Source organism: Homo sapiens, chromosome 4, assembly GCF_000001405.40.
Source record: "Homo sapiens chromosome 4, GRCh38.p14 Primary Assembly".
Taxonomy (NCBI): Eukaryota; Metazoa; Chordata; class Mammalia; order Primates; family Hominidae; genus Homo; species Homo sapiens.
In genome coordinates this window covers 98,180,101-98,205,994 of record NC_000004.12, presented here as the reverse complement: position 1 = coordinate 98,205,994, position 25,894 = coordinate 98,180,101, and the positions used below count along the sequence as shown (strand labels likewise).

At 37.9% G+C, this 25,894-nt stretch overlaps 1 long non-coding RNA gene across 3 annotated transcripts, besides 1 other annotated feature; it reads left to right on the top strand.

The window, feature by feature from the left end:
* Nucleotides 1,224-1,945: an enhancer, noted in NCBI's record as "H3K4me1 hESC enhancer chr4:99125201-99125922 (GRCh37/hg19 assembly coordinates)". NCBI's record gives its function as "activates a minimal SCP1, AML or CMV promoter by ChIP-STARR-seq in naive H9 embryonic stem cells {active_cell/tissue: H9 hESC(naive)}" and the evidence as "EXISTENCE:reporter gene assay evidence [ECO:0000049][PMID:30033119]".
* On the top strand, nt 1,864-25,264 carry LOC105377340 (uncharacterized). Of its 3 annotated transcripts, none has more exons than XR_001741771.2 (4): nt 1,864-2,295; nt 19,478-19,572; nt 20,759-20,864; nt 25,063-25,264. It is a non-coding gene; the product is annotated as an uncharacterized LOC105377340 (long non-coding RNA). The 3 variants fall into 3 exon arrangements; XR_939013.3 differs by lacking the exon at nt 25,063-25,264 and adding an exon at nt 22,223-22,464; XR_939014.2 differs by lacking the exons at nt 1,864-2,295; nt 19,478-19,572; nt 25,063-25,264 and adding exons at nt 19,396-19,435; nt 22,223-22,464.
* The last annotated feature ends 630 nt before the right edge of the window (nt 25,265-25,894 follow it).

The following is a 25,894-nucleotide window of genomic DNA, read 5'->3' as shown; positions in this document are numbered from 1 at the left end:
TAAAAAAAAAATTCTCTGTTTTTTCTTTAAGTTCTCTTATTATTTCATTTTTACAATCAAATATTTACATATCTGGGATTCATGCCCAGTTTTTCAATATTGGTCTGTTGAACAACTGATTTTCTCTCAGTAATTTAAGGAGATATATTTATTAATGCACTGAATTCCTATTTGTTTTTGGGCTTACTTCTGAATGCTTTAGTTTCACAAATCTGCCTGTTCTTTGGCTATTAATAACATTCATTAATATTAAAGCTCTACACATATTAATACCTGATAGAAATATTTTCCCCATATTAATTTTCTTTTTAAGAAATTTTCTGTCTTTATTCACACATTTATTTTTATAGGTGAGCTCTAGTATTATTTTTGCAAATCAAAAAATAAAAGAAGACAACTCTTTGGAATTTTGTTAGGGATTACACTGAATCAACTTATTAAACTTTGGGAGAATTTTCATGTTTATAAGATTGGTCTTTCTATACCAGATCAAAGCATATCTCCATTTATTTAAAGTTTTAAAAATTCCCTAATTTTTTCTCCAAGTAGATTCTCAGTTTTTACTCCTAAGTATTTTAATTATGAAATCTGATTTTGTAAATGGGATGCTTTCTTTCATTTTATTTTCCAACACATTTTTGTCCAGAGGGTTTTTTTTTTCTTTTTTTTTAAACTGGGTACCAGGCACATATGGAATAGAAGTGTGAAACTGATTTAAAAGCACAGAGTTAAGACATCAGTTTACGTTTCTGGCTATATTTGATTTTTTTTTTGGGTCTAGATCTCATCTTACTTCCCAGTTCCCCATTCCAAAACTAAGAATGCCTTATCTTACCATTCAGCCAATCTTGTATCTCAGCATCTTTCCCAGTTAGCCAACTTCCTACTGGCCACCGAAATACTTTGAGACTTGTAAAACAGGCTACATTGTTGTGTTTTGGGTTTTTTTTTTTTTTTTTTTTTTTTTTTTTGAGACGCAGTTTCGCTCTTGTTGCCCAGGCTGGAGTGCGATGGCGTGATCTTGGATCAACGCAACCTCCACCTGCCAGTTGCAAGCGATTCTCCTGTCTCTGCCTCCCGAGTAGCTGGGATTACAGGAATGCGCCACCATGCCCGGCTAATTTTATATTTTTAGTAGAGATGCGGTTTCTCCGTGTTGGTCAGGCTGGTCCCGAACTCCTGACCTCAGGTGATCCACCCACCTTGGCTTCCCAAACTGCTGGGATTACAGGCGTGAGCCACTGCCCCTGGCCAAACCAGGCTACATTGTAAATCTACATACTGATTTCTATGTTTTAATTCATTTTGTTTTCTAATACTTTGAGTTATGTGGATTTTTAAAAAATAAATTAACTCTATTTTTCTGCTCAATTTTTATGCTCCCACGGAATCAACAGAACTCTTATCTAAGTTTTGCAATATACGCAGCTTATACTCAGAGACACAAGAATACAGGGAGTCTGCCGAAACTCTAAAACTGAGCAGATCTGGAAACCACAACTTTTATTTACCAGTTTGGTCTATATCTATTAGCAATCTCATTCTTGTATTTGCAGAAACGTCAATGTCTGCCTACTGTGGCCTCCCCACAAAAAACTATTCATAAAAAGAAGTGAAGAAAGAGAACTGAAAATTATATGAAGGCCTTTAGCATCAGAGGTTTTCTGTTATTGTACTTGGTTTTTCTACCAAGCACTTGTTTTGCAGTCTAAGGAACGCCTATTTATTACTGCTGCAATGATATCCTTTCTTTGTTCAGATCTCTTCAGCACTGTACAGTTATACCATAGTTTGGTTTCAAGTTTATACAGACACACGTTTAGCCTTGGATCTCCAAAACTGACTATGTGCTAGTTTCTTAGGAATTGAAGTAGCTTAGGAACTTCTCACTTCTCACATGTGCTTTAACCAAAACTGCTTATTCTAGATGGCTAGGTTCGTGAGTTGGATGGGTCTTAAGCCCAAAGCACTGAGGGAGACTTCTATTTCAAAACCTTTGATGCCATTTTCCAATTAAAAATCTTGAGCAGAACCACCTCAATCTGTCAGAAATTTTCTAACGACGTTAAACCTCAAAAGGGAAGTTAGTTGTTCAGATCTTCACTCATTTTTTTCTCCAAGTGGCTCCTTCATTAGTATGCAAATTTTCCACACCCTACCCTAGAGGCAAGCTCTGCATACCAAGAAATCTTGACAAACATCAGGTTATGAGACTTCCCCCCAAGAGAACAGGTGCCTAACATCTTACACAACTAAGAGCAAAAGAGAGAAAATCTCCAAGAGGATAGGCTACAGGTACGTAAAGCAGTACATGCTGCCAGCTTGTCACTCAGCGTTCTAAATTCAGCCTCACTTGGAACTCTATTACACATGCAGGCCATCAAAAATCAGAGCAGGCCAGACGGAGATGAGAGTTTCGAGAGAGAGAAATGGAAATCTGTGGAGGTAATTGCCTAAAACTTCTCTTGGTGCTTTCACTTTGTCTTTATGGTGTGTGGGAGGATCAGCCAGGTGTAAAAGATGACAGACAGAAGGGACACTATGAAACTGTAATGGGCCTAGTGCTCAAGTTTTTAAAACAGTCCACATAAGCTCTGTTATGGTTAGAATACAAATGCCACCTTTTTTTAGCATTAACATAATTATATTCTAACTCCACATGTTGTTTTAGGCATCTCATTTACCAACATACTTGGACATCAGATAGGCATAAATTAAAGTATATAATTTGTAGTGCATAAAAATCACAGAAATGCTTATTGATTCCTAAATTAGGATAACATATTTTCACTGGTGCAGTCTTTTTATCAATAAATCGTAATTGAATTTCCAAGTTAGAGCCTGCAGGGCAAATGTGCTCTAGTTTTTTTAGGTTTCCAGAGACACTGAGCCTAAACATGAATATTCCCTCACTAAATGTAACTGGATCACTTTGCAAGAAAGATGCTTCAATTCTCTTAATTTATTCAAATGAATATCATTCATATATTCTAAGTCCAAGATTTTCAACTACTCTGTAAATGTAATTAGCTTTTCTTATAAGCTATATTCCAACCAGTAGAATATTATTGAATATTATTGTTTCTCCTTTAAATGCATTCTCAAATTTCAGTCCTATTTTTAGTACAGTCACACATTAAACCTTTACCTGTGTGTTATAAATAAAGTTTCGGTGCCGCAAAAGAAATAGCACTTGAATATAAAATTTTCTTTTAATTCTCAGCAAGGCAAGGTACTTCTATAGAAGGGTGCACCCTTACAGATGGAGCAATGGTGAGCGCACACTTGGACAAGGGAGGGAAGGGGTTCTTATGCCTGACGCATGTGGCCCCTGCTGCTGTGTCATTCCCCTATTGGCTCGGGTTAGGCCGCACAGGCTAAACTAATTCCAACTGGCTAATTTAAAGACAGTGATGGGGTGCATGGTTTGGCGGGAAAAACGGTTATGCAGAGTAGAGAATGAGTTAGGGCAGAGCAGGTAGCAGGTAATCGGAATGAGTCAAGGTGGGGCAGGTGATTGAAATGAGTCAGGGTGGAGCAGGTAATCAAAAAAGGTTGCTTTATGTGGAAGTTAAGTTTAAAAGTAGAAGGCAAAGAACTGAACATACTGATATATTGATTCTTTGAAAAGAAATTTAGAACTCATATCTAACATGTGGGATAAATAAAAATTAAAAAAAAAATTTAAATGACTATTCCCTTTAGGGAATTTTGCCAACATTTTTTAGAAAATAAAAAACATATGCCAAATACATTAATGGCATAGAAAGCCATTGGAATAATACCAACATTTAAAAAGTAATATTCAGTATTTTAACATTTTGACTAGAAGAAAACAATGGTTGATGCAGTCACTTTGGAATTTTAGTTTTAAATGCCTCTTTTTATGGGAAATATTCAAGGTTAATATATAATATTCTTAAAATTGTGCTTCCATTAATATGGTCTATTTTCATTGTATTTCCTCAAAAACAGACCCTGAAACAAGAGCTTAGGTGCAGATGGTATATTCAGGAGATAATTCCTCATGGCAGGCAAATTGAGGAAACCAAACCAAGATAGAGAAGCAGGGAAAGCCAATAAAAAGTGCATGAATGAGCAAAGTACAGTAGTGGGCAACTGGGGCTTAATTTTGTTGGGATCCCCAGAGAAAGTGTGTATGCCATATATGGAAATAAATGAAGACCAAATGAGAACAGACAAAGCATATATTCAGACCTTGATATAGCAAGAGAGTCAGGCATCATCACTTGTGTTTTGGTAGAGACTCATCACTTGTGTTTGGTAGAGGCAGGCATAGGAGTGGAAAGCTTTATAGTGGTAAAAAGAGAAGGTTTCAGGTATGCCCTGATTTGAAGCTGTTGGCTTAAGAAAGCTATAGGTAGGCTAAACAGATTTGGGGCTTTCTGTGTGATTGATTGGGGTGCATATTTGGCTTTCTCTGGCTGGTCCTAATTTGGAAGCTGGGACAAAAATTAGGGAAGCTGTCAGTTATTAATCGAGTCCTGGCCATTTTGGGCCAATTGTTATAGGGATTATTGCTTGACTTACTGGACTGATTTCTGGAGATAGTGGTCTGACTTCCTACAAATCTGACTTACAGATAATATCCTAGCTTTCTGTAGATATGGTATGATTTCCTAGGGTGCTTGCTACAGATTGTAGGTCAGAGTTCTATTTTCATATATGGTCTGGCCATTGTCTATATATATATATAGAGAGAGAGAGAGAGAGAGTCTCTCAAATGCTTTAAAACTGTCCTGTGGGAGGCTAGAAAGCTTGGGGCATTTATCCATCTACTTCAAACTCATATTGATTGTTGTTGCTTTGAGTGACTTGGGTGGAGCAGACTCCCACAGTTAGTCCCAGAAAAAACCCTAAGGCAGAGAAGAGACACACAACATTTGAGGTGGTAAGCTGTCAGCATGTTGAAACTGTCTCCTACAGGTGACCTATTCATAAGTTGATTACATCTGCACAGACCCTATTTTCTTTTTCTTTTTCTTTTTTTTTTTTTTGAGACAGAGTCTCACTCTGTCACCCAGGTTGGAGTGCAGTGGCACGATCTCAGCTTACTGCACCCTCTGCCTCCCAGGTTCAAGCAATTCTCCTGCCTCAGCCTCCCAAGCAGCTGGGACTACAGGTGCGCGCCACCACGCCCAGCTAATTTTCTTGTAGTTTTAGTAGAGACGGGGGTTTCACCATATTGGCCAGGCTGGTCTTGAACTCCTGACCTCATGATCCACCTGCCCTGACCTCCCAAAGTGCTGGGATTACAGGCATGAGCCACCGTGCCTGGCCTGACCCTATTTTCAAATAAGGACACATTCTGAAACTCCAGGTAGACATGAATTTTGGGGGAACACTATTCAACCCAGTCCAGGAGGTAAGAATTAACTTGCCCAAATATGATTCCCCTGTGGCCTCCAAAAAAAGAAAAGGAATTGACCTTCTACAAAGCTGTATGAAAACTGGCCACAGCCAAACATCGAGGCAGTGAATCCTGGTCAACCATAAGACCTGCCCTTAGGCTCCTGATTATGCCAGGGGAAGGGCTCATGTTTGCTGCAAATATGAAAGCTGAGTTCACAGACTAGGGCTGGAGCCAAAGTTTTGCAATGTCATCTTGTTATAGTATCCTGGTCCCTGATCGCCTGAGAGTAGGAGACAATGCTTCCAAACAGGCAAAAGTCCGCACACCGGGGATTAGGGGCCCTATCCCAGAATGTGACATTAGACCATGCTAGCACTCTGTGTTCCACTTTACAATGCAACAGGGGACTGCATGCTTGTTACTGCTCCTGTCTTCATGAATTTTCCCCAGTAAATTTTGCTCTAGCAGATCTGGTATGTGTACTGACTGGCCATTGGTCCTTTTTTGCATAACAATATCTTATTTTGTTTAATTGCAACATCACTCTCTGAGATAAATATATAGTGATCACTTTTTTTTTTTTTTTTTTTTTTTTTTTTTTGAGATGGAGTCTGGCTCTGTCGCCCAGGCTGGAGTGCAGTGGCGTGACCTCGGCTCACTGCAAGCTCCGCCTCCCGGGTTCACGTCATTCTCCTGCCTCAGCCTCCCGAGTAGCTGGGACTACAGGCGCCTGCCACCACGCCTGGCTAATTTTTTCTATTTTTAGTAGAGATGGGGTTTCACCGTGTTAGCCAGGATGGTCTCGATCTCCTGACCTTGTGATCCACCTGCCTCGGCCTCCCAAAGTGCTGGGATTACAGCTGTGAGCCACCACGCCCGGCCTCATCACTGTTAATATTACTTAACTGAAGCAAACTCTCTTTAGCCGATGAAGCAGAAAAGGGAGTTTTGAAAAAAAGACTATTGGTTAGCTCACAGAAGCATTTGGAGGCCTGGAGAGCTAGACTTGAAGTTAAGCTCCTAGGAACAATTCTGAAAATCACATGGCAAAGTTGGCGCGGAGAGGAAACTGCTGCTTCTCTTGCTGTCCCACAGAGCACTAGGGAAGGTGTTGCCAACTCTCAACTCCCTGCCTGGGCCACATCTGTGCCTGGAACTTGACCTTGAAATCACTGAGAAACTAAACTGCATACAGTGTTGTTGCTACCACCACAAGACGGCAGCATTGTTGTCCACTGTACCAGAAAAATGGATTCTGACTGGAGCCTTCTTCTTGTATGCAAGATTTTAAAACAGTCCACATAAACTCCGTTACTTACCTGTCAAATTCTTACATGTGTGAATCTCACAGGAGAAGTCAAAGTCACTGTCATATTCCTAGGCCCAGCAGTAAGAGAGGCTGAGAATTCAGTTTTCTGCATTCTACTTTGTGGAAGCGGGACTCTAAAGACTGAGGATTTTCCAGTATGGTAAAATTGTTTTCAAAATATGCTGGGTAGTCAGAAAACATGACAAATATCCGTGTCCAATATAGTAAGCAACTTTATTTTACCTGTGAGGCATCTGAAAATCAGGAAATTTCAATAACATGTCTAAAATGTTACACAGCTAGAAAGGGTAGAGTCAGGCTATAAATCCAGGTCTGTCTGACCTTAAATCTCGCATTCTTATTCGTTGCTTTTTTGGTCCAAACCAAAAACATATAGACAGGTATACATCCTCATACATGGAATTTTCAAATAAGAACAGTTCTGTTATTATTACCAGAGTATTGACAGTGTTGTTCTAATGGGAATTCGTAGTGTGCCTCTGCTTTTTGTGCGGGTTTTTTTTTTTTTTTTTTTTTTTTTGGTGAGGGGAGAGGGGAGTCTGCTCATAATCCCTTCTTTATTCTTCTGGTAATAGCAACTCTTCCTTTGGAAAGCCATCCCTCTCCAAATACATATAGACCCAGTGGGACCGTTGTCACAGCATTCTCATTACATCCTTCAGGAGTGGTCATGCAGATTAGGCTGTCTGACCATCAACATCACCCCCTTGGCCATAGTGATTGTCTTGGGGATGGGCATATTACCCAAGCTGGGCCAATAAGAATTCTTCCTGGTACTTTTGCTAAAGTTAGTGTTCTAAGAGACCCTCTGTGTTTGGCTGAATAATCACCTCCCCAAATATGTTGATATCTGAATCCCTAGAACCTGTGAATATGTGACCTTACACCATAAAACAGATTTTTTAGATATGATTAAATTGAGAATCTGGAGATGAACAGATTGTCTTGAATTATCTGGATATTTCATTTGGGGTGTGCTTGATATAATCGTAGGAGTCCTGACAAAAGAGAAATAGGAGATCAGAGTTAGTTGAAGGCAACATGACCATGGAAGCAGAGACAGGAATGATGCTGCCACAAACCAAGAAATGCTGGCAGCCTCTAGACCATGGAGAAGTCAAGAAATAGATTCTCCCCTAGAACCTCCAGAAGAAACCAGCCCTGCCCACATCTCAAGTTTTAGCCCTGTAAAGCTCATTTTGGACTTCTGACTTCTGGAACTTTAAGAGAATAAATTTTTGCTGTTTTAAGTCACTAAGGTTGTGGTCATTTATTATAGCAGCAACAAGAAGACCAATACCTCTTCTTCCCAGAACAGTAAGAGAAAGAGGCACAGAGAGAACAATAAATATGATAATAATTATAGTGATGATACTGTGGTTTGAAACCCTTGATTTAGTTGTGTCTGAGCTAGCACCGTCTCTGCATATTGCAGTTAGTTGGCCTATACATTTCTTTTAAGGGACAAGTAATTTGTATTATATTTCCACTACCTAGAACAAAAAGAGTCTTGACAGCACAAGGTAACTATTTCATTTTCAAAGTTTCCAATTTGTAAAATATAAGGATCATCACCATAAGAGAGGGTGAAAAAAATATATATATATATATATGAGGAAAATGAGAGTATAAAGCAAACAATTTTCTTCTCTCCCTTGCACACAAGTAAAATGGATTAATTGAAAAAAGAATGTTTTCTGAATGCATTAGTACATTCAAACTAAGAACATTCAGATGGAGACAGTATTAGAAATGAAAAATGCTAAAAAGATTTCTAAAGGCAAGAGAAAGTAAAGTCAATGTTTCAGTTAGTACTGAATTGAACTTGCTTATTGTCTTTGGATAAAATAGCAAGCACTTACCTTGTGAATCATTAAGAATCACTGACTTCAAGAGTGAAGTTGGTATCTTGGCCAAATACAAATTTTGTTCTTGGTTTAGGAGAATTCATTTCCCAGAAATATTTGACTGATGTGGAATTTAAAAAGGAGAGTTATGTAGATCTTTAGGTAGCATGATTGATTGCAGCCCAACACATGGTAAATACAGGATACAGTTTTACATTAATAAGTCACTTCAGATAATACAACTTTTATCTAGTTTGGAAGGCATTTATTACTTTAGTTATATGTGCAAAAGCAATTCAAGCAAAGGAACACAGGTACATATTTACTTTGACAAAAAGACGGTTTATTTCTATGTGGGAAGTTTGCATTTATTTTTATTTTGGGGGGCAACATATAGAGAAAGAAAATATTCCAGGTTGAATCAGTGTTGGTAATCAAAAGAATGAAAAATATTACAACTAGATTTACTCTGCCATTTAAACATAGGTAAAAGGTGTTTAAAACTTGAATTCAATAGTGATTTAAATGTTCGTATTAATTTTACTTTAGTGTAATTTAGCTGGTCTGAAGCTATATAACTTTTCATATTTATTGATAGTTTATTATATGCCAGACACTATGCCAAGAACTTTACACACATTATTTCATTTCATTGTCATAGCAACCCAATGGAATAGGTATTGTTTTTATTTTTATTGTATAAATAATAAAATTGGAGCTTTGAGAGATTAAGCATCTTCCCTAGTATCACACAACTAGGAAGTAGAAAAGGTAGGTTACAAATGTGGGCAGTAGGATTCTACAGCTGGTACTTCGGAGCCTACTCCCTAAATCAGTAATACCAGACCAACTCCAGCCTGAAATTACGTATATTACCTTTGTTTCATTTATATCCTTCTGGTGTTTCTGCTGTATGTTCCAGATATATACATCTTTGTGGAAATACATGACTAATGACTGTCTTATGGACCTATAAAAATACTAATTTGTTAAACATCATAAAGGACCTAATATGCCCAAGTAATTATTTTTCATGGAATAATTTTTAAAAATTGGACTACTTACCATTTTTCTATATAATTAATTGAGATTGATTCTAAACTGATATTTATATATCTCCTTCCTCTTAAATATTTGAGTTTCTCAGAGGTGTGTCCAAGGCTTGTTCTCATATTCTACTTACAGAACGCTACCTGCATGATTGCATCTGACTTTATAATTTTAACCACCACTTATATTCAGATAACTTACAACTCTGTTTCAGTAGCCCAAATCTCTCCCCCCAATCCAGTTGCTTAATGATCATCTCTGCTTAAAGATCCACAGACACCTTAAGCATGATTAAACCAGAATTCATTATCCCTTCCCCCTTGACCACATCCTTTTTGATTGTGAACCCCTCTTTTTTTTTTTTTTTTTTTTTGAGAGAGGGTCTTATTCTGTTGCCCAGGTTGGAGTGCAGTAGCCCAGTCTCAGCTCACTGCAGCCTCAACCTCCCAGGCTCAGGCGATACTCCCACCTCAGCCTCCCAAATAGCTGGGATTACAGGTGTGTGCCACCACCCCTAACTATTTTTTTGTATTTTTTATAGAGACGGGGTTTCACCATGTTGTCCAGGCTGGTCTTGAACTCCGGGCCCCAGTGGTCCTCTCACCTTGGCCTCTCAAAGTTCTAGGATTACAGGTGTGAGCCACTGCACCTGGCCTTGTGACCCTCTTAATCCCTTTTTATTTTCTGCATGCCTTGTTCAGCTAGTGCGGCCACTATCCATTATCTAAGCATCTTTGATTTCTCTCCTCTCTTTCACATCTTTCTTACATATCCAATCACTAAATTCTAATAATTCTACCCTCCAAATGTGTCTCTTATTTTTCTATTTTTTTTTTAATCTGAAATGGAAGAAAGTTTAGTAGTTCATATTTTCATTATCTCTATAGTAGCTCTTCTTTTCTGGTTTCCTCTTCTTCACAGACATCCTGCACAGAGATAGGTCTAGAGGATTTTTTACTTCTGACCAGGCAGAATCATCTTGTGTTTGTTGTTGTTTTTAATTTTGAAAGGAGAGCTTTATTTCTCATAAAAGATTGTAGCTGGCAGGGTGGCCATTCTAATAGGCTGGGAAACATGCACAGCCTCCAGGCAAAAACCAACACTTGGAGGGAGGGGAAAAGGGAACGGGAATTCATGCCCGAACTAGGTGGCTGAATATACGTATTCAATAAGTTATTGGACTCATGAATATTTATAAAAGGAGAAACGCACATGCGCAGTTGAGCTTCATTCATCTTCATGGGTAACATGTTTAAAAGATGGCGATGTTAGCATAACTCAAGGGTGGAGTTTTCCGCCCTGTGATGTCAAAAAGTGAGGCAGAGGACATAAAATCCCTTACTACACATTCTCACATTCTTCAAAGACTGGCCAGAACCACTTCTTAGTCTGTGGTCTCTTAAGCAAAAAAGAAGGGCAATCTCAGGAGGTTGTTTGAGATCAGTGGTGCAGCCTTTTGAAAGGGCTGGTTTTTGTTTACCCCTTAGGGAAGAAAAGGCTAATGGTGGTTAGTGAGGGAGATAAGGTATAAGGAGGTGTGTCTGACCTCCAATACTATCATGGCTGAGAACTCAGTTTTCAAGGTTACTCTGGTGTCTTCTTGGCCAAGAGATCGTCTGTTCAGTCTGTTGGGGGGTTAGAATTTTATTTTTATTTCTCATTTTCCCCCTTTGTCTGAGATTTGCTAGAGGCAGCATCTACAGCTAAAATTTATTTTTTCCCATATTGTTGCCAGGGTGGTGTGGCTACCTATCCTGGTTCCAGTCTGTCCCTCAGTGGCCTGGAAGTTCAAGGGACTTAGAGCTAAAAGATTTACAGCAAATTAGACATTCTAGGCTAGAAGGGAATGGAGGTGGACAGGCACTCATGAACCCTTAAAACCTTTTAAGCAACACAGGAGTCAAAAACTAAACCCAAAAGCAGGATTACAAAGTTGACTTATCTATAAAGTCTATGCATTGAGCTACTGTAATCTTGGTTTTAGTTAGATTTGTAGCAATTAGCTATATAAAACATATACATTTTGCTAAAACATTAAAGCTAAGGAATTTAGAGACTTTTGTTGTGCTGCAATGTGTTTTGTGGTCTCTTTAGCAATTTGTCCTAAAGTGGCCAATAAAATATTTTTTGTCATCTCTATTTGCATAAACTGCACAATTAGGAACAATTATACCCAGAAGGCTCTGTCACTGTTGTGAAAAGTAAAAAGTTCCTCTTCAAAGTTTCCCTTTTCGTTAAAGAATAAATAAGTGTTAGAAATAATAGTTTCTTTTAAAAACTAACTTCCTTCAAGCTTCCTTGCTTTTTGCTAATAACTCTTTGCTAAGCCCTGTGTAGCTGTTACATATAGTAAGGGAATAAGTACATTCTATGTCCTTGTACTTCAACCAAGTTATTTATTCTGGCCTATAACCTGCTCAGACGTATCTGAACATGCCCAGGCATTTCCTGGCTTACAGCCTACGCCCCTTCCTTATTTGGAAATGTTATTGTTCTCCTAGTTTCCCATAAACAACCCCCTTCCTTTCCTTGTTCTCTGTCGCACATTTGCCTGTTTAGGAAAGTTTTAAGTTTTTAGCTAATCGGGATCAGTCTAGATTGTGCAGTCCAGCTCCAGCCAATGGAGATAGGACACAGCAGTAAGGACCCAATGCGTCAGGAATAAAAACCTCTGCTTTTCTTTGTTCAAGGTGCTCTCGTGACAATCAGGCTTCCAAAAAGCACCCTTTCTGCAGAAAGTAAAATTGCCTTGCTGAGAAAATTCTTTGAGCGCTAGTTCTTCTTTTTGGCACCAAGGAACAAGCATTTATTTCTAACACTAGGTATCTTGATATCGTCTTGGTAATTCTCTTTTAAGCAAATAGACTAGCTTTTATCAGACCTACCCCCAATGTCAACAACAGCTTTAAAAGAAACTGAATGAAATAAAAAAATTTGGTTTGAAAATATCAGAGAACTAGGCAACTGGGAACTAGGAACCCATCAACCAAGATCTTGGAAAGAAGACACAGAAATTGAGATGATCCTAACAGTCTTTGTTATTTATCCCCTCAAGGAATTTGCTGATTGTGGGTGGTATAGAATGAGGGGATTAGAAATTAAACAGAAAGCCAGGCACGGTGGCTTACGCATGTAATCCTAGCCCTTTGGGAGGCCAAGGCAGGCGGATCACCTGAGGTCAGGAGTCAAGACCAGCCTGACCAACATGGAGAAACCCCATCTCTACTAAAAATACAAAATTAGCTGGGCATGGTGGCGCATGCCTGTAATCCCAGCTACTCAGGAAGCTGAGGCAGGAGAATCACTTGAACCCTGGAGGTGGAGGTTGCAGTGAGCCGAGATCATGTCATTACACTGCAGCCTGGGCAACAAGAGTGAAACTCTGTCTCAAAAAGAAAGAAAGAAAAAAAAGAAATCAAACAGAAAGCATTGACCAAGAGATTCATTAAGCAGAATTTTTATCAGTCTTATGATACTGGGGAGACAAAATTTGGAGTTCAGCATCCATCCAAGGCAAATGACTCTTGTAAACACTCCAGATTTTTTAGTGAAACCTATGGAAGGATAATCCTAGGAGTGGTGTAAACTGAAAATACAGAGCCATTGCAAAGACTAAAACTCAGCTGTTAGGCTGGGCATGGTGGCTCATGCCTGTAATCCCAGCACTTTGGGATGTAGAGGTGGGAGGATTGCCTGAGGCCAGGAGCTTGAGACCAGCCTGGGCAACATATCAAGACCATGTCTCTACAAAAAAATTAAATTAAATTAAGTTTAATTTTTAAAAAAGAAACTTAGCTTTGAATCAGTACCATCACAGAATATATTCAGGTGATCTAGCTCTATTTGACTGCCTACCAGAAAAATAAAAAGTAATCTCCAGAGAAAGAAAACATCATTGAAAGCTTCAAGTTATTACTACAACTTTTCATACACAATGCCCAATATTTAGTAGAAAATTGTAGGCATACCAGGACACAGAATAAATGACCACATCACAAGAAAAAAACAAAAACCGGCCAGTTATGATGCCTCATACCTGTAACCCCAGCACTTTGGGGAGCAGAGGCAGGAGGATCATTTGAGGCCAGGAGTTCAAGACCAGCATGGGCAACATAGGAAGACCCCACCTCTGAAAAAAATAAATTAGCTGAGTATGGTGGCACATGCCCGTGGTCTCAAATAAATAAATATATAAAAAGAAACAGGTGGCCGGGCACAGTGGTTCACGCCTGTAATCCCAACACTTGGGGAGGCCAAGGCGGGCAGATCACAAGGTGAGGAGTTCGAGACCAGCCTGACCAACATGGCGAAACCCCGCCTCTACTAAAAATACAAAATTGGCCGGGCATGGTGGTGTGCACCTGTAATCCCAGCTACTCAGGAGGCTGAGGCAGAAGAATCGCTTGAACCCAGGAGGCAGAGGTTGCAGTGAGCTGAGATTGTGCCACTGAGCAACAGAGTGAGATTCTGTATCAAAACAAACAAACAACAAAAGAAACAGGCAAACAAACACATAGAGATCCACATATTGTGTTTATTGCACATGGGCTTCTTTTATTTTTATTTTTTATTTTTGAGACAAGGTCTTGATCTGTCACACAGGCTGGAGTGCAGTGGTGTGATCATGACTCACTGCAGCCTCTACCTCCTGGGCTCAGGTAATCCTACTGTCTCAGCTTTCAGAGTAGCTGAGATTACAGACACTCATCACCACTCCCAGCTAATTTTTAAATTTTTTTTGTAGAGAGAGGGTCCCACTCTGTTACCTAGGCTGGTCTCACACTTCTGGCCTCAAGGGATCCTCTCACCTTGGCCTCTCAAAGTCTTGGGATTACATATGTGAGCAAATGCACCTGGCCCTATGATCTTTAAAATAACTATCAATTAATATGTTCAAGAAAAAAATATGAAAAGATAAGGAATTTCAATAGAAAACTGGAGTCTATTAAAAATTTTGTGGAAACTGTAGAAGCAAAAATTATAGTAACTCAAACAAGAATTTGGTAAACGGGCTTAATAGCAGATTAAACATGGTTTAAAAGAGAATAAATAAACTGGAAGAAAGGACAGAAAAGAATATCCAGATTGAATTATGGTGAGAAAAAGAGGTTAGACATGCGGAAAACAGCATAAGAAAATTGTGGGACATGGTGACACATTCTGATGTACGTGTAATTTGAGTCCCAGAAGAAAAGGAAAGAGAATAAGCAGAAGCAATATTTGGAGAGATGTTGACCCAAATATTCTAAAAGTTATGGAAGATATCAGGTCACAGAATCTAGAAGGGTTATGAACTCCATTCAGGATAAATTCAAAGAAAACCATATCTAGGAGCATTACAGTCAAACTGCTGAAAACCAAACACAGAGAAAAATCTTAGAAGCACCCAAAAGAAAGAAAAAGTCTTTTTAAGGAAGCAACAATATGACTTCTCAACAGAAATAATGGAAATGACAAACACTAGAATAGCTTCTGTAAACAAATGAAAGCAAATGCCTTAGAATTCCAAACTAGCGAAAATGTCCTTCAAAATTAAAAGAAGATGAATCATAGACCTAAATGTGAAAGTTAAATAAGATTTCTAGATTAAGTTATAAGAAACTGTCTTAATGATCTTGGGATAAGCCATTATTTCTTAAACAAAACATAATAACCAGAACAAACAGACTTTGAAAAATTAGAAAGTCTGTTTTTTAAAATTACATTTAGGAATTTTAAAATTAGACTTTTTAAAAATTAAGTACTTATGTTCAGCCTAAGACATCAAGGAGAAAAAAAAGCCAAAAATCAGAAGAATATGTTCACAATACATATCCTCCAAAAGACAGTTATACACCAGAAAAGCTAAGAATAAAAAACCTTACTATCCCAAACTGTTAAGTGACGATGTGGAGAAACTAGAACTCTCATCCATTGCTGATGGGAATGTAAATTGGTACAACAACTTTGGAAATTGTTCGGCAGTATCTACTAAGGAGTTTACCATGTGACCCGGCAATTTTATTCCTAGTATATTGAGTGCTTGTGTTCACCAAATACATGTACAAGAAAGTTCATAGCAGCTTTATTTATAATCACATACATCTGGGAACAATGATACAGCAATGTGATACTGGAAAAACCAACTGTGGTGTATTGATACAATGTAATATTATTCAGAAAACTACTGCTACATGCTACAAAAATGGACAAATTTCATAGACATAGTGTTGTACAAAAGAAACTAGGCACAAAAGGCTACTGTATAAGCCTGTTTATATGAATGCCAAAAGAAGGCAAAGCGAATTAATGTTTATAGAAGTCAGGATAGTATTCCTTTTGGGGAAGTATTCATTAGAAGAGGCATGAGGGAGCCTTTGATAGTGCTGAAACTATTCCATGATCTGGGTTGTGGTTATGTGAATATGTTCATATGTAAAAATTCACTTAGCTGTAATGAAAGACTTTAAGAAAAACAAAAATTGAGAGAATTAATCAATAGTAGGTATGCAGTAAAAAATAATAAAGGGAATTCTTCAATCAGAAAGAAAATGATTCCAAATGGAAGCATGAAAATTCAGGAAGCAGTGAAGACAGCAACGTAAAAGGTCAAATGTAGGTGAATATTAGCGATATAGAACAATATTATTAATGTGAAATGGCATGTATAATTATAGAATTAGAATACTTGAGGTCAGGTATGGTGGTTCATGCCTGTAATCCTAATCCAACTGGGAAACCTAGGTGAGAGGATCTCTTGCGGCCAGGAGCTGGAGACCAGCCTGGGCAGCAAAGCGAGACACCCATTTCCACAAAAAAAAAAAAAAAAAAAAAAAAATAAACAGAAAGAAAGAAAAAATTAGCCAGACATGGCAGCGTGTCTGTAGTTTTAGCTACTCAGGAGGCTTAAGTGGATTGCTTGAGCTCAGGAGTTTGAGGTTGCAATGAGCTATGATCACACCACTGCACTCCAGCGTGAGTAACAGGGTAAGACTTTGTCTCTGAAAACTAAACCAAACCAAACCAAAAATCCCTTGACAACAATAGCACAAAAAGAGGAAAGGAATAGTTAACAGAGTTAAAGTGAGGTGTTCTAAAGTTCTGTTTTTTTTCAATCATACTAAGTTTTCAAAATCTAGAGCCTTTTACCTTTTATAACATATCTCAATTTATACTAACCACATGTCAAGGTCTCACATGTGACTACTGGCTAACATATTGAACATCCCAGATCTAGAGCAGTGGGTCTCAAGAGAGGACATTTTGTCCCCCAGGGGACATTCATTCATGTCTAATGACATTTTTTATTATTATAATTAGGGGAGGGAGAGTGGTGCTAGTGGTATCTAATGTGTAGAATCCATGAATGGTGCTAAAAATCTTACAATATACACAGAATGGCCCTCCCCAAACCCAAGAAAGAATTATTCAGTCCAAAATGTCACTTGTAACATGGTTGATAAACCCTGCTTTAACATAACCCATGAAATAAGAAAAAGTATATAACCAACAAGCAAATAGTGGGAAGGGGGAAATAAATAGCAACAATCACTTCATTAATTCCAAAGAGTAAAAGAATGGAAAGAAAAAATAAATATAGAACAGGTGGGACAAATAAAAAATAAATTATAATAATACTGGTAAAATTACATTAAATATTAATGGATAAATATTCCAATTACAGACTAAAATTTTTAGATTGAGGCCGGGTGCAGTGGCTTATGCCTGTAATCTCAGCACTTTAGGAGGCCAAGGTGGGTGGATCACCTGAGGTCAGGAGTTTGAGACCAGCCTGGCCAACATGTGAAACCCTGTCTCTACTAAAAATAAAAAAATTAACCAGGGATGGTGGTGCGTGCCTGTAATCCCAGCTACTCAGGAGGCTGGGGCAGGAGAATCACTTGAACCCGGGAGGCAGAGGTTGCAGTGAGCCGAGATCATCCCACTGCACTCCAGCCTGTGCGACAGAGCGAGACTCCATCTGAAAAAAACATGTATTATTAGATTGAGGAAAAGGTTTCTAATTATTTGCTGCAAAGATGAAGGTAAAATGGTTAAAAATTCTAGAACATGCAGATTCTAACCAAAACAAAACTGGTAAAGCTATACTATATCAAAAATATTTTAATGCAAAATGTACTACTAGAAGCAAAAAAAAAAATCATAATGATGCAAGGGTCTTCCATCAGTATGATAAAAATGATTACTTAAAATGCCATATGACCACATGACTTCACTGATATATATTTTTCAGTGTCTCTCCCAATGACCTTGGATAAGGCTCAAACTACAATATGGCCAAAAAGATCCTCTGTGAATCACCTGCTTCATCTCTAACAGCTCATGTCATTTTTTCCTCAAAATTTATGTTTAGGAGTGTTGAAGAACATGCAATTCCTCAAAATCACCACATTATTTTATATTCTCTATGCTTTTGCTTATATTGGTCCCTCTGCCTGGACTGCTTTTCTTTGTGGAAATTATCTGAAAAAGTTCTATTTATCTTTCAGAGATGTATTCTGCTATATCCTATGTAAAGCTTTTCTGATTGACTCCTGCACATAATCTTTCACTCTTCTGCATACCGCTGTACCTCATAAGCATTTTTTAAAAATCATTTTTTGTAATATATTTGCTCCTGTATTCTGCCTTTTCTTCTAGCCAGCAGGAAGTATCAGACAGTCATTAACTTTTACAGAACTCAATTTATTTGTGTTGGTAAATTGCAGTAACCTTAGAGAGATACTTGCTATAAAATTGTCTGAATTGTATTTTGCTGAGAAATATATTTCTTTTAGATTCAGCTAAGATAACTTATAAATCATTTGTCTAATGATTTCAATTAGTATTTTTTAAACTAAAACCTCATTATTTTTTATTCTTCTCTCATTTTATTAATTTTATACTTAAGAATGAAGTCATGCAAGCAGTTAATACAACTAGTTATTCCAGTACAATAACTGAGAAAGAGTGTCTATTTATATTGCTCTTTTGTTATGGATTACTTGACTTTTTTCATAGCATTGTTAGTTTTCTAGACTGATTTAGCCAAATTGTAATTAGTAAATGAATTAACTTGAAAATTTTGCATTTGTATATATTTTTATAAAATGTATGAATCCATACTATTTGAGAATTTATAAAAATTGTTTAAAGCAGAACTATTAACCGGGGTGCCATCATTAATAAAAGCTGCAATGACAAGGTTTGAATTTCTGGATGTGTTTCGGCTGATTCTACAGTTCTTTCTGCTAGACTTGCAAATTAAAATAGCCAAAGTAATTTCTTAGACGAATTGATTTATAAGCAGGCTAATGATTTTTCATGATGTTAAAATAGAGGACTTTCAGATTCATGTTGTAGGAGATTGGTTAAGAATGAAAAATTTGTGTCAAACTGCCTAGCTCTAAATTTAAGCTTTGCCACATTTTGCCTTATATAATCTTGAACAATTTGCTTAACCTCCCTAAGCCATAGTTTTTTTTTTCCATTTGCATAATACAGATAATAATTTATCTATTTCATAGATTATTTTGAGGTTTACATGACAATATAAGTAAGATATTTAGCAGTTTCTGTTACATAGTAAATACTCAAAGATGAGCTAATATAACAGATATAGCTAAGTAAAGTCAATAAAACATATAGTTAATTTAAAGACTATTTTACAACTACCATGTATCTAAGTACTATTTATTTATGTATTTATGTATTTATTTATTTATTTAGTGAGACAGGGTCTTGCTCTGTCGTCCAGGCTGGAGTGCAGTGGTGCGATTACAGGTCACTGCCATCTTGACCTCCTGGGCTCAAGTGATTCTCCCACCTCAGCCTCCTGAGTAGCTAGGACTACAGGTATGTGCCACTACACCTGGCTAATTTTTTTTTTATTTTTAGTGGAGATGAAGTCCCAGTATGTTGCCTCGGCTGGTCGCAAACTCCTGAGCTCAAGTGATCCTGCCACCTCGGCTTCTTAAAGTGCGGGTAGTACTGTAAGCCACTACACTCGATCTTAAGTACTATTAATAAAAGCTACCATATAGTGAGCATTTGTGCTAAATATTTTATATACATTATCTCATTTAAACTTTACAATAACTTTGGGAGTAGTTATAATGTCCTTATTTTATTGACAAGTTAACTGAGGCTCTGAGAGTATATGTCCAAAGTTATATATTTGGTAAGAATATTTTGACATGATCATTTGGAGCAGACATTTTAAGGTCAGGAATATTTTGGTGCAGTCTATAGGAAAAAATCTCTAAACTTTCTACTTTCCCCTGCCAAATCGAAATAGCTTTATTATGCTTATTTCCAAATTTTTTTTAAAAAAGAACATACATTTTGAAAACAACTCAGGCAATATAATAAGATACAAGAATCACTTATAATTTCACCACTCAATGGTAGTCACAGTTAATATATTTGGTAAACATAAATTGTAGACACTACTTGCCTATCAAATATCCATTCTCTTCTTATTTCTTAATAACAGATCCAAATTTTTGTTTGGATCTAGCTAAAATACTTACCTCCCCAGACAAGCAATGGCCCTGAGAACCAGTTCTGGCCAAGGAGATGCAAGCAGGAATCACTGAGTACGCGCTATTGGGAAGGCGGCTGACTTGCCTAGCAACCACCTCTTGTCTACATAGTGTGCAAATATGCTAGGAGTGCAGTCATTTTTTTTTGGCCCAAAAGACAAAAATTGCATGCAGTCTGGCATAATGAAGCCTGAGTCCCTCATGGCATCATGAAGCCCTTTGATCAGTCCTGAACTGCCTACAGTGGAAATTCTTGTTATAAGGAAAAAAACCTTTCTGATTAAGCATTTAAATTTTAATCTGGTTTCTGTTACATGCAATTAAAAGCAATCTTAACTGATACACTATCATTCTGGAGTGCTTTTTCCTATTTAATTACATTAAACATTAAAAGATAACCTTCAAATAATTCCTATTATAAAAGGTAACCTTATTATATAATTATAATTTTGCAATAAACAATATTCATTTGTATGTCATTCAGGCAGACTCTTGGCTGCCAACCCAACAACCATGTCTCCTACATTTATGTTAACAGAATTCTAATTTTGTTTAGATAGCATTTTGTTCAGCCCCTGGGATAAATCTTGATTGGTGTATATAAAAATTATAGCTATCCTTTCTCTCTTGCCAGTAATTTGTCTAGAAATGACAGTGTAATGCCACTCTGGTCAATGAGACCTAAGAGGAAGTCTACTGGAAGACATCTGGGAAAGATTTACCATCCTGAAAAAAGACATGTGAGAGCATTTTTTTTCCCTCCTTCAATTTCTTGAGGTTGTATTGTATGAAGACGTACTGTTTGGAGCTACAGCAGCCATCTTGTGAAAATAAAGAGAAATATTATTGGCACTGTAGTGATGACCTAATGTAGACAATCTGTGACACTAACCAGGTTTTCTTGTAACATAAACAATAAGTGGGGCAGGCGCAGTGGCTCATGCCTGTAATCCCAGAACTTTGGGAGGCCAAGGTGGGCAGATCACCTGAGGTTGGGAGTTCAAGACCAGCCTGACCAACATGAAGAAACCCCGTTTCTACTAAAAATACAAAATTAGCCCAGCATGGTGGCCCATGCCTGTAATCTCAGCTACTCGGGAGGCTGAGGCAGGAGAACCGCTTGAACCCGGGAGTCAGAGGTTGTGGTGAGCCAAGATCGAGCCATTGCACTCCAGTCTGGGCAACAAGAGTGAAGCTCTGTCTCAAACAAAAACAAAAACAAAAAACAATAAGTGTATTTATATGCTTTAAGCTTCTGTTAATTTTTTTTATTTGTAGACAAAAGCATTCCTATTGACATGTTTATTCAGAAAACATTTATTATTCATTTTCCATGTGTCAGAAACATTATCAGTAAACATAATCAATTATTTTGCCTTCATACAGCTTACTTTTGAAGGGAAAGTAATATTACATAAATAAATTATATCATAAGTAAGTTATAGTATATATTAGAAAGCAATAGGGGCTACAGAGAACAGGAAGACAGGAAAGACATGGAGTGTGCAAGTGTTGGTTGGTCAGGGAAGGTCCACTGAGAAAATAATGTTTGAGGAAAAACTCAGAGTTGGTAAGGGAGTTATCTTTGTGGATTTCTAGACAAAGAGAGTTTCCGGCAGAGAGAACGGCAACTGCAAAGGAGCTGTGATGGGATGGGAGAGTGCCTGGCACCTTCAAAGAGTGCCAAACAGACCCCTATGGCTACAGCGGAATGGGAGAATATGAACAGAAACTGGCCAAACAGACCTGGGAGGACAAGATTGCCTGGGACCTAGTTAAGACCTTGGCTTTTATTCTGAATAAGCTGAATGGTCATTCAAGAATTTTGCATAGAGAAATAACATGATTCAACTAACATGATTCAACTAGAATCATATAAACTACTGTTTTGAGAATAAATACAGAGGAGTGTATTGGGGTCATGGCAGTAGTTATGCTGAAACAAAGAGACCTGCCAAATTACAGAGGCTTGAATAAGGTTTACTTCTTGGGATGTTGGTAGTGTGGTTCTGTTCCATGTGGTCAGTCAGGGACCAGATTACATGTTTTGTTGTTCCCTATCCTTTCAATCATGTTTTTATCTTGCTTGTGTTCACAGGATCATGACATCTTGCAGAAAAGAGGAAGAGAGAATTTCTAGGACAAATGGCTTGTTTTTTACATTAGAGATGAACCAAAAGTTGCACACTTCACCTCTGCTCACATCCCATCCTTCTTAATCATATAGCCACAACTTGCTTCAAGTGAGACTGAAAATACAGTCCCTAATGGGGGAAGAGGTGATGACCATGTGTACAGCCTAAGTTTTTTTTAAGAAAAAAAAAAAAAAGGGCCGGGTGTGGTAGCTCACACCTGTAATCCCAGCACTTTGGGAGGCCGAGGCGGGCAGATCACAAGGACAGGAGATCGAGATCATCTTGGCTAACATGGTGAAACCCTGCCTCTACTAAAAATACACAAAATTAGCTGGGCATGGTGGCACGTGCCTGTAGTCCCAGCTACTCAGGAGGCTGAGGTAGGAGAATAGCTTAAACTTGGGAGGAGGAGGTTGCAGTGAGGCAAGATCGCACCACCGCACTCCAGCCTGGGTGACAGAATGAGATTCTGCCTCAAAAAAAAAAAAAGAAAAAAATTAAAAAAGAAAAAAAGAGAAACAAATTGGTTGGAGGCCTATAAGTTTATGCTACAAGGACTAAAGATAGAACCAGAGGGAGCCTTGGACACCATTGCAATAACATCCTAGTACATGACAGTGTCTTGGACCATAGTGGTAGGAAAGGAGATGAGGAGAAGTGGTCAGATTCTGGATACATTTTGAAGGTATATCCACTAGGATTTGCTGATAAATTGCATGTGATATATGAAAAATATAGAGGAATTAGGAACCTGTCTACTGTTTTTAGTCTGAGCAACAAAAATAATGGACTGGCTAAAACTGAGATGGAGCAGAGTATGGGTGAAGCTGGTGGCTTAAGGAGGAAAATTATGGGTTTTAGATATAATAAATATATGGCTAATTCAATATATAAATGAAGATGAGAAGTAGAAAGTTGAATATTATATGTTAATGAATATATATAATTTTTTTTTGAGATGGAGTTTTACTCTTGTTACCCAGGCATGTGTGCAATGGTGTGATCTCAGCTCACTGCAACCTCTGCCACCCGGGTTCAAGCAATTCTCTGCCTCAGCCTCCCAAGTAGCTGGGATTACAGGCACCTGCCGCCACACCTGGCTAATTTTGTATTTTTTTAGTAGAGACGAGGTTTCTCCACGTTGGTCAGGTTGGTCTCAAACTCCTGACCTCAGGTGATCCACCTGCCTTGGCCTGTCAAAGTGCTGGGATTACAGGTGTGAGCCACCATGCCCAGCCATGAATACATGTTTGTATTCATTTGAGAGAGCTATTGTTTTTTTATTTTATGGAGACATAATGTGTTATTTAATAAGCACCTATTAATGGAAATATAGTTTTTCCCCAGTTTTTAGAAAAACTAGTATTAAAAGTGCTCTGATTAACATTTTTCAACATTTATTTTTGATATGTGCCTTCCTGAAAATAGTTAATATAACAGGACTGAATTCCTGTCCTTAGAAAGGCCTGCTTATAAATTTGACTTTTGGTTGATGTCTGGTAACAGATTTTGCAAGGGTTCCTATTATTAACTGATAATAGTAGCTCACTATGCCTAACCTTTTTGTATAAACAATATGGTTTTTACTGAACACCTATTTTCCTTGTGTGTCTGGAATTTTGGTACATGCCAAGCAAAGGTTGCCTATGTGATCCATCCCCAGTAAAAACCGTGGGCATTGAGTATCTCAAGAGCTTCTGTGGTTGGTGTTTCACATAAGTTATTGTAACTTGTTGCCGGGGAAATTAAGCATATCCTGTGTGACTCCTCTGGGCGAGGACTTTTGAAAGCTTGTGCCTGGTTTTCCCTGGACATTGCCCCATGCACATTTTCCTTTTGCTGATTGTGCTTAGTATTTTTTCACTATAATAAATTATGAGTATGAACATATGCTGAGCCCTGTGAGTCCTCTCAGTGAATTACTGAACCTGAAGGTGGTCTTGGGGATTCTCCAATTATTTCCTTAGGCTACATTCTCAATGCTAAAATTGCCACTCATTTAAAATCTGATATACAATGCTAATCTACTCCTACCAGCAATGTTGGCATTATCAACCTTTTAAATGATCTATCTAATAGGTGAAAAATTATATTTTTGTTAATTTTCATTTTAAATTTCTATTTGAAACCTCTTCTTTGTACCTATTAACTAAATTTTTTCTTTAGCAAAGATATATACTTTTCCTGTTTTAAGCTTCATTTAAAACTCCAATTAATGTTTTTAATCCTATTATTTAGCTTATTATTTTTCTTCAAGGATATTTAGGGCTCAGGAAGAAAGTTAGAAGCCATTAAGTTCTTTAAAAAGTGCTTTTTAGGCTAGACATAGTGGCTCATGCCTGTAATCCCTGCACTTTGGGAGGCCGAGGCGGGCGGATCACCTGAGGTCAGGAGTTAGAGAACAGCCTCGCCAACATGGCAAAACCCTGTCTCTACTAAAAATACAAAAAAAATTAGCAGGGCGTGGTGGCATGTGCCAGCTACTAGGGAGGCTGAGGCAGGAGAATCGCTTGAGCCCAGAAGGCGGAGGTTGCAGTGAGTCGAGATTGCACCACTGCACTCCAGCCTGGGTGACAGAGCAAGATTTTTTCTCAAAAAAAAAAAAAAAGTGTTTTTATTCCTCCTTTCATGTACTGCTATTTATTCAAGACCTAAATATAAAGATGCAAGACAAAGGGAAGTTAAGAATCTTCTGATTCTTAACTTTGTGTTGAGGAAGGATGCCATAGTTAATTTTGTCCTGCTATAAAAGAGTACCTGAAACTGGGTAAGTTATAACGAACATAAATTTATTTTCTCACAGCTCTGGAGGCTGGGAAGTCTAAGATCAAGGATCTGGCATATGGCAAGGACTTTGCTGCATCATCAGATGGAGGGAGACAAAAGGACAAAGAAGCAAAAGGGGTTCAAATTTGCCTTATTATAATGGCATTAAGCTGGCTCGTGTAGGCAGAGCCCTCATGGCCTAATCACATCTCAAAAGTCCCACCTCTTAATACTGTTACAATGGCAATTAAATTTCAACATGAATTTTGAACAGAACAAACATTCAAACCACAGTAAAGGAAAAACTATTCTCTATTTCTATTTCTATTGGTATTAGGATGAATTTAAATGATTTTCTGTGCTTCTGGGTAGCTGAGAAGGTAACAGGTATGCTCTTTAGGAATTCCAAGTGAAAGGAGTTAATGAAGGTGCTTCGTCATGGAGCAGTTCTCCCAAAACTTTGTTGCTCCAACAGTTGTGAAGTGGAAAGTACTATATGAAAGTTTGAATTATTGGTCCCAGCTTTTAAACCCTCTGCCCATGATGAGAGTATTAGCCTTCTCATCTGATCTGTTGAGTCTCCTCAATTCTCCAACATGCTGACCCTTTCTCAGTTCTCCAAAACAATGGTAAGAATAGGCTGTATGTTTTTAATGTTTGATTCTGATAACAACACAGATAACTTAACACTGGACAACTGGCAGGTCTCAAAGTAAGTAAGCTGAAGCCCTTTCCTAAGTATATCCTACTGAGCTCCTTTTTCTGATATCCTGGCTTAATTATTGTGGCAGATGTTTGTTTTCTGTCCCACATCTAATTAGCCTGCTCTAATTCTGCAGAAACAGTTTACTTCTCAACAGAAACCTGCT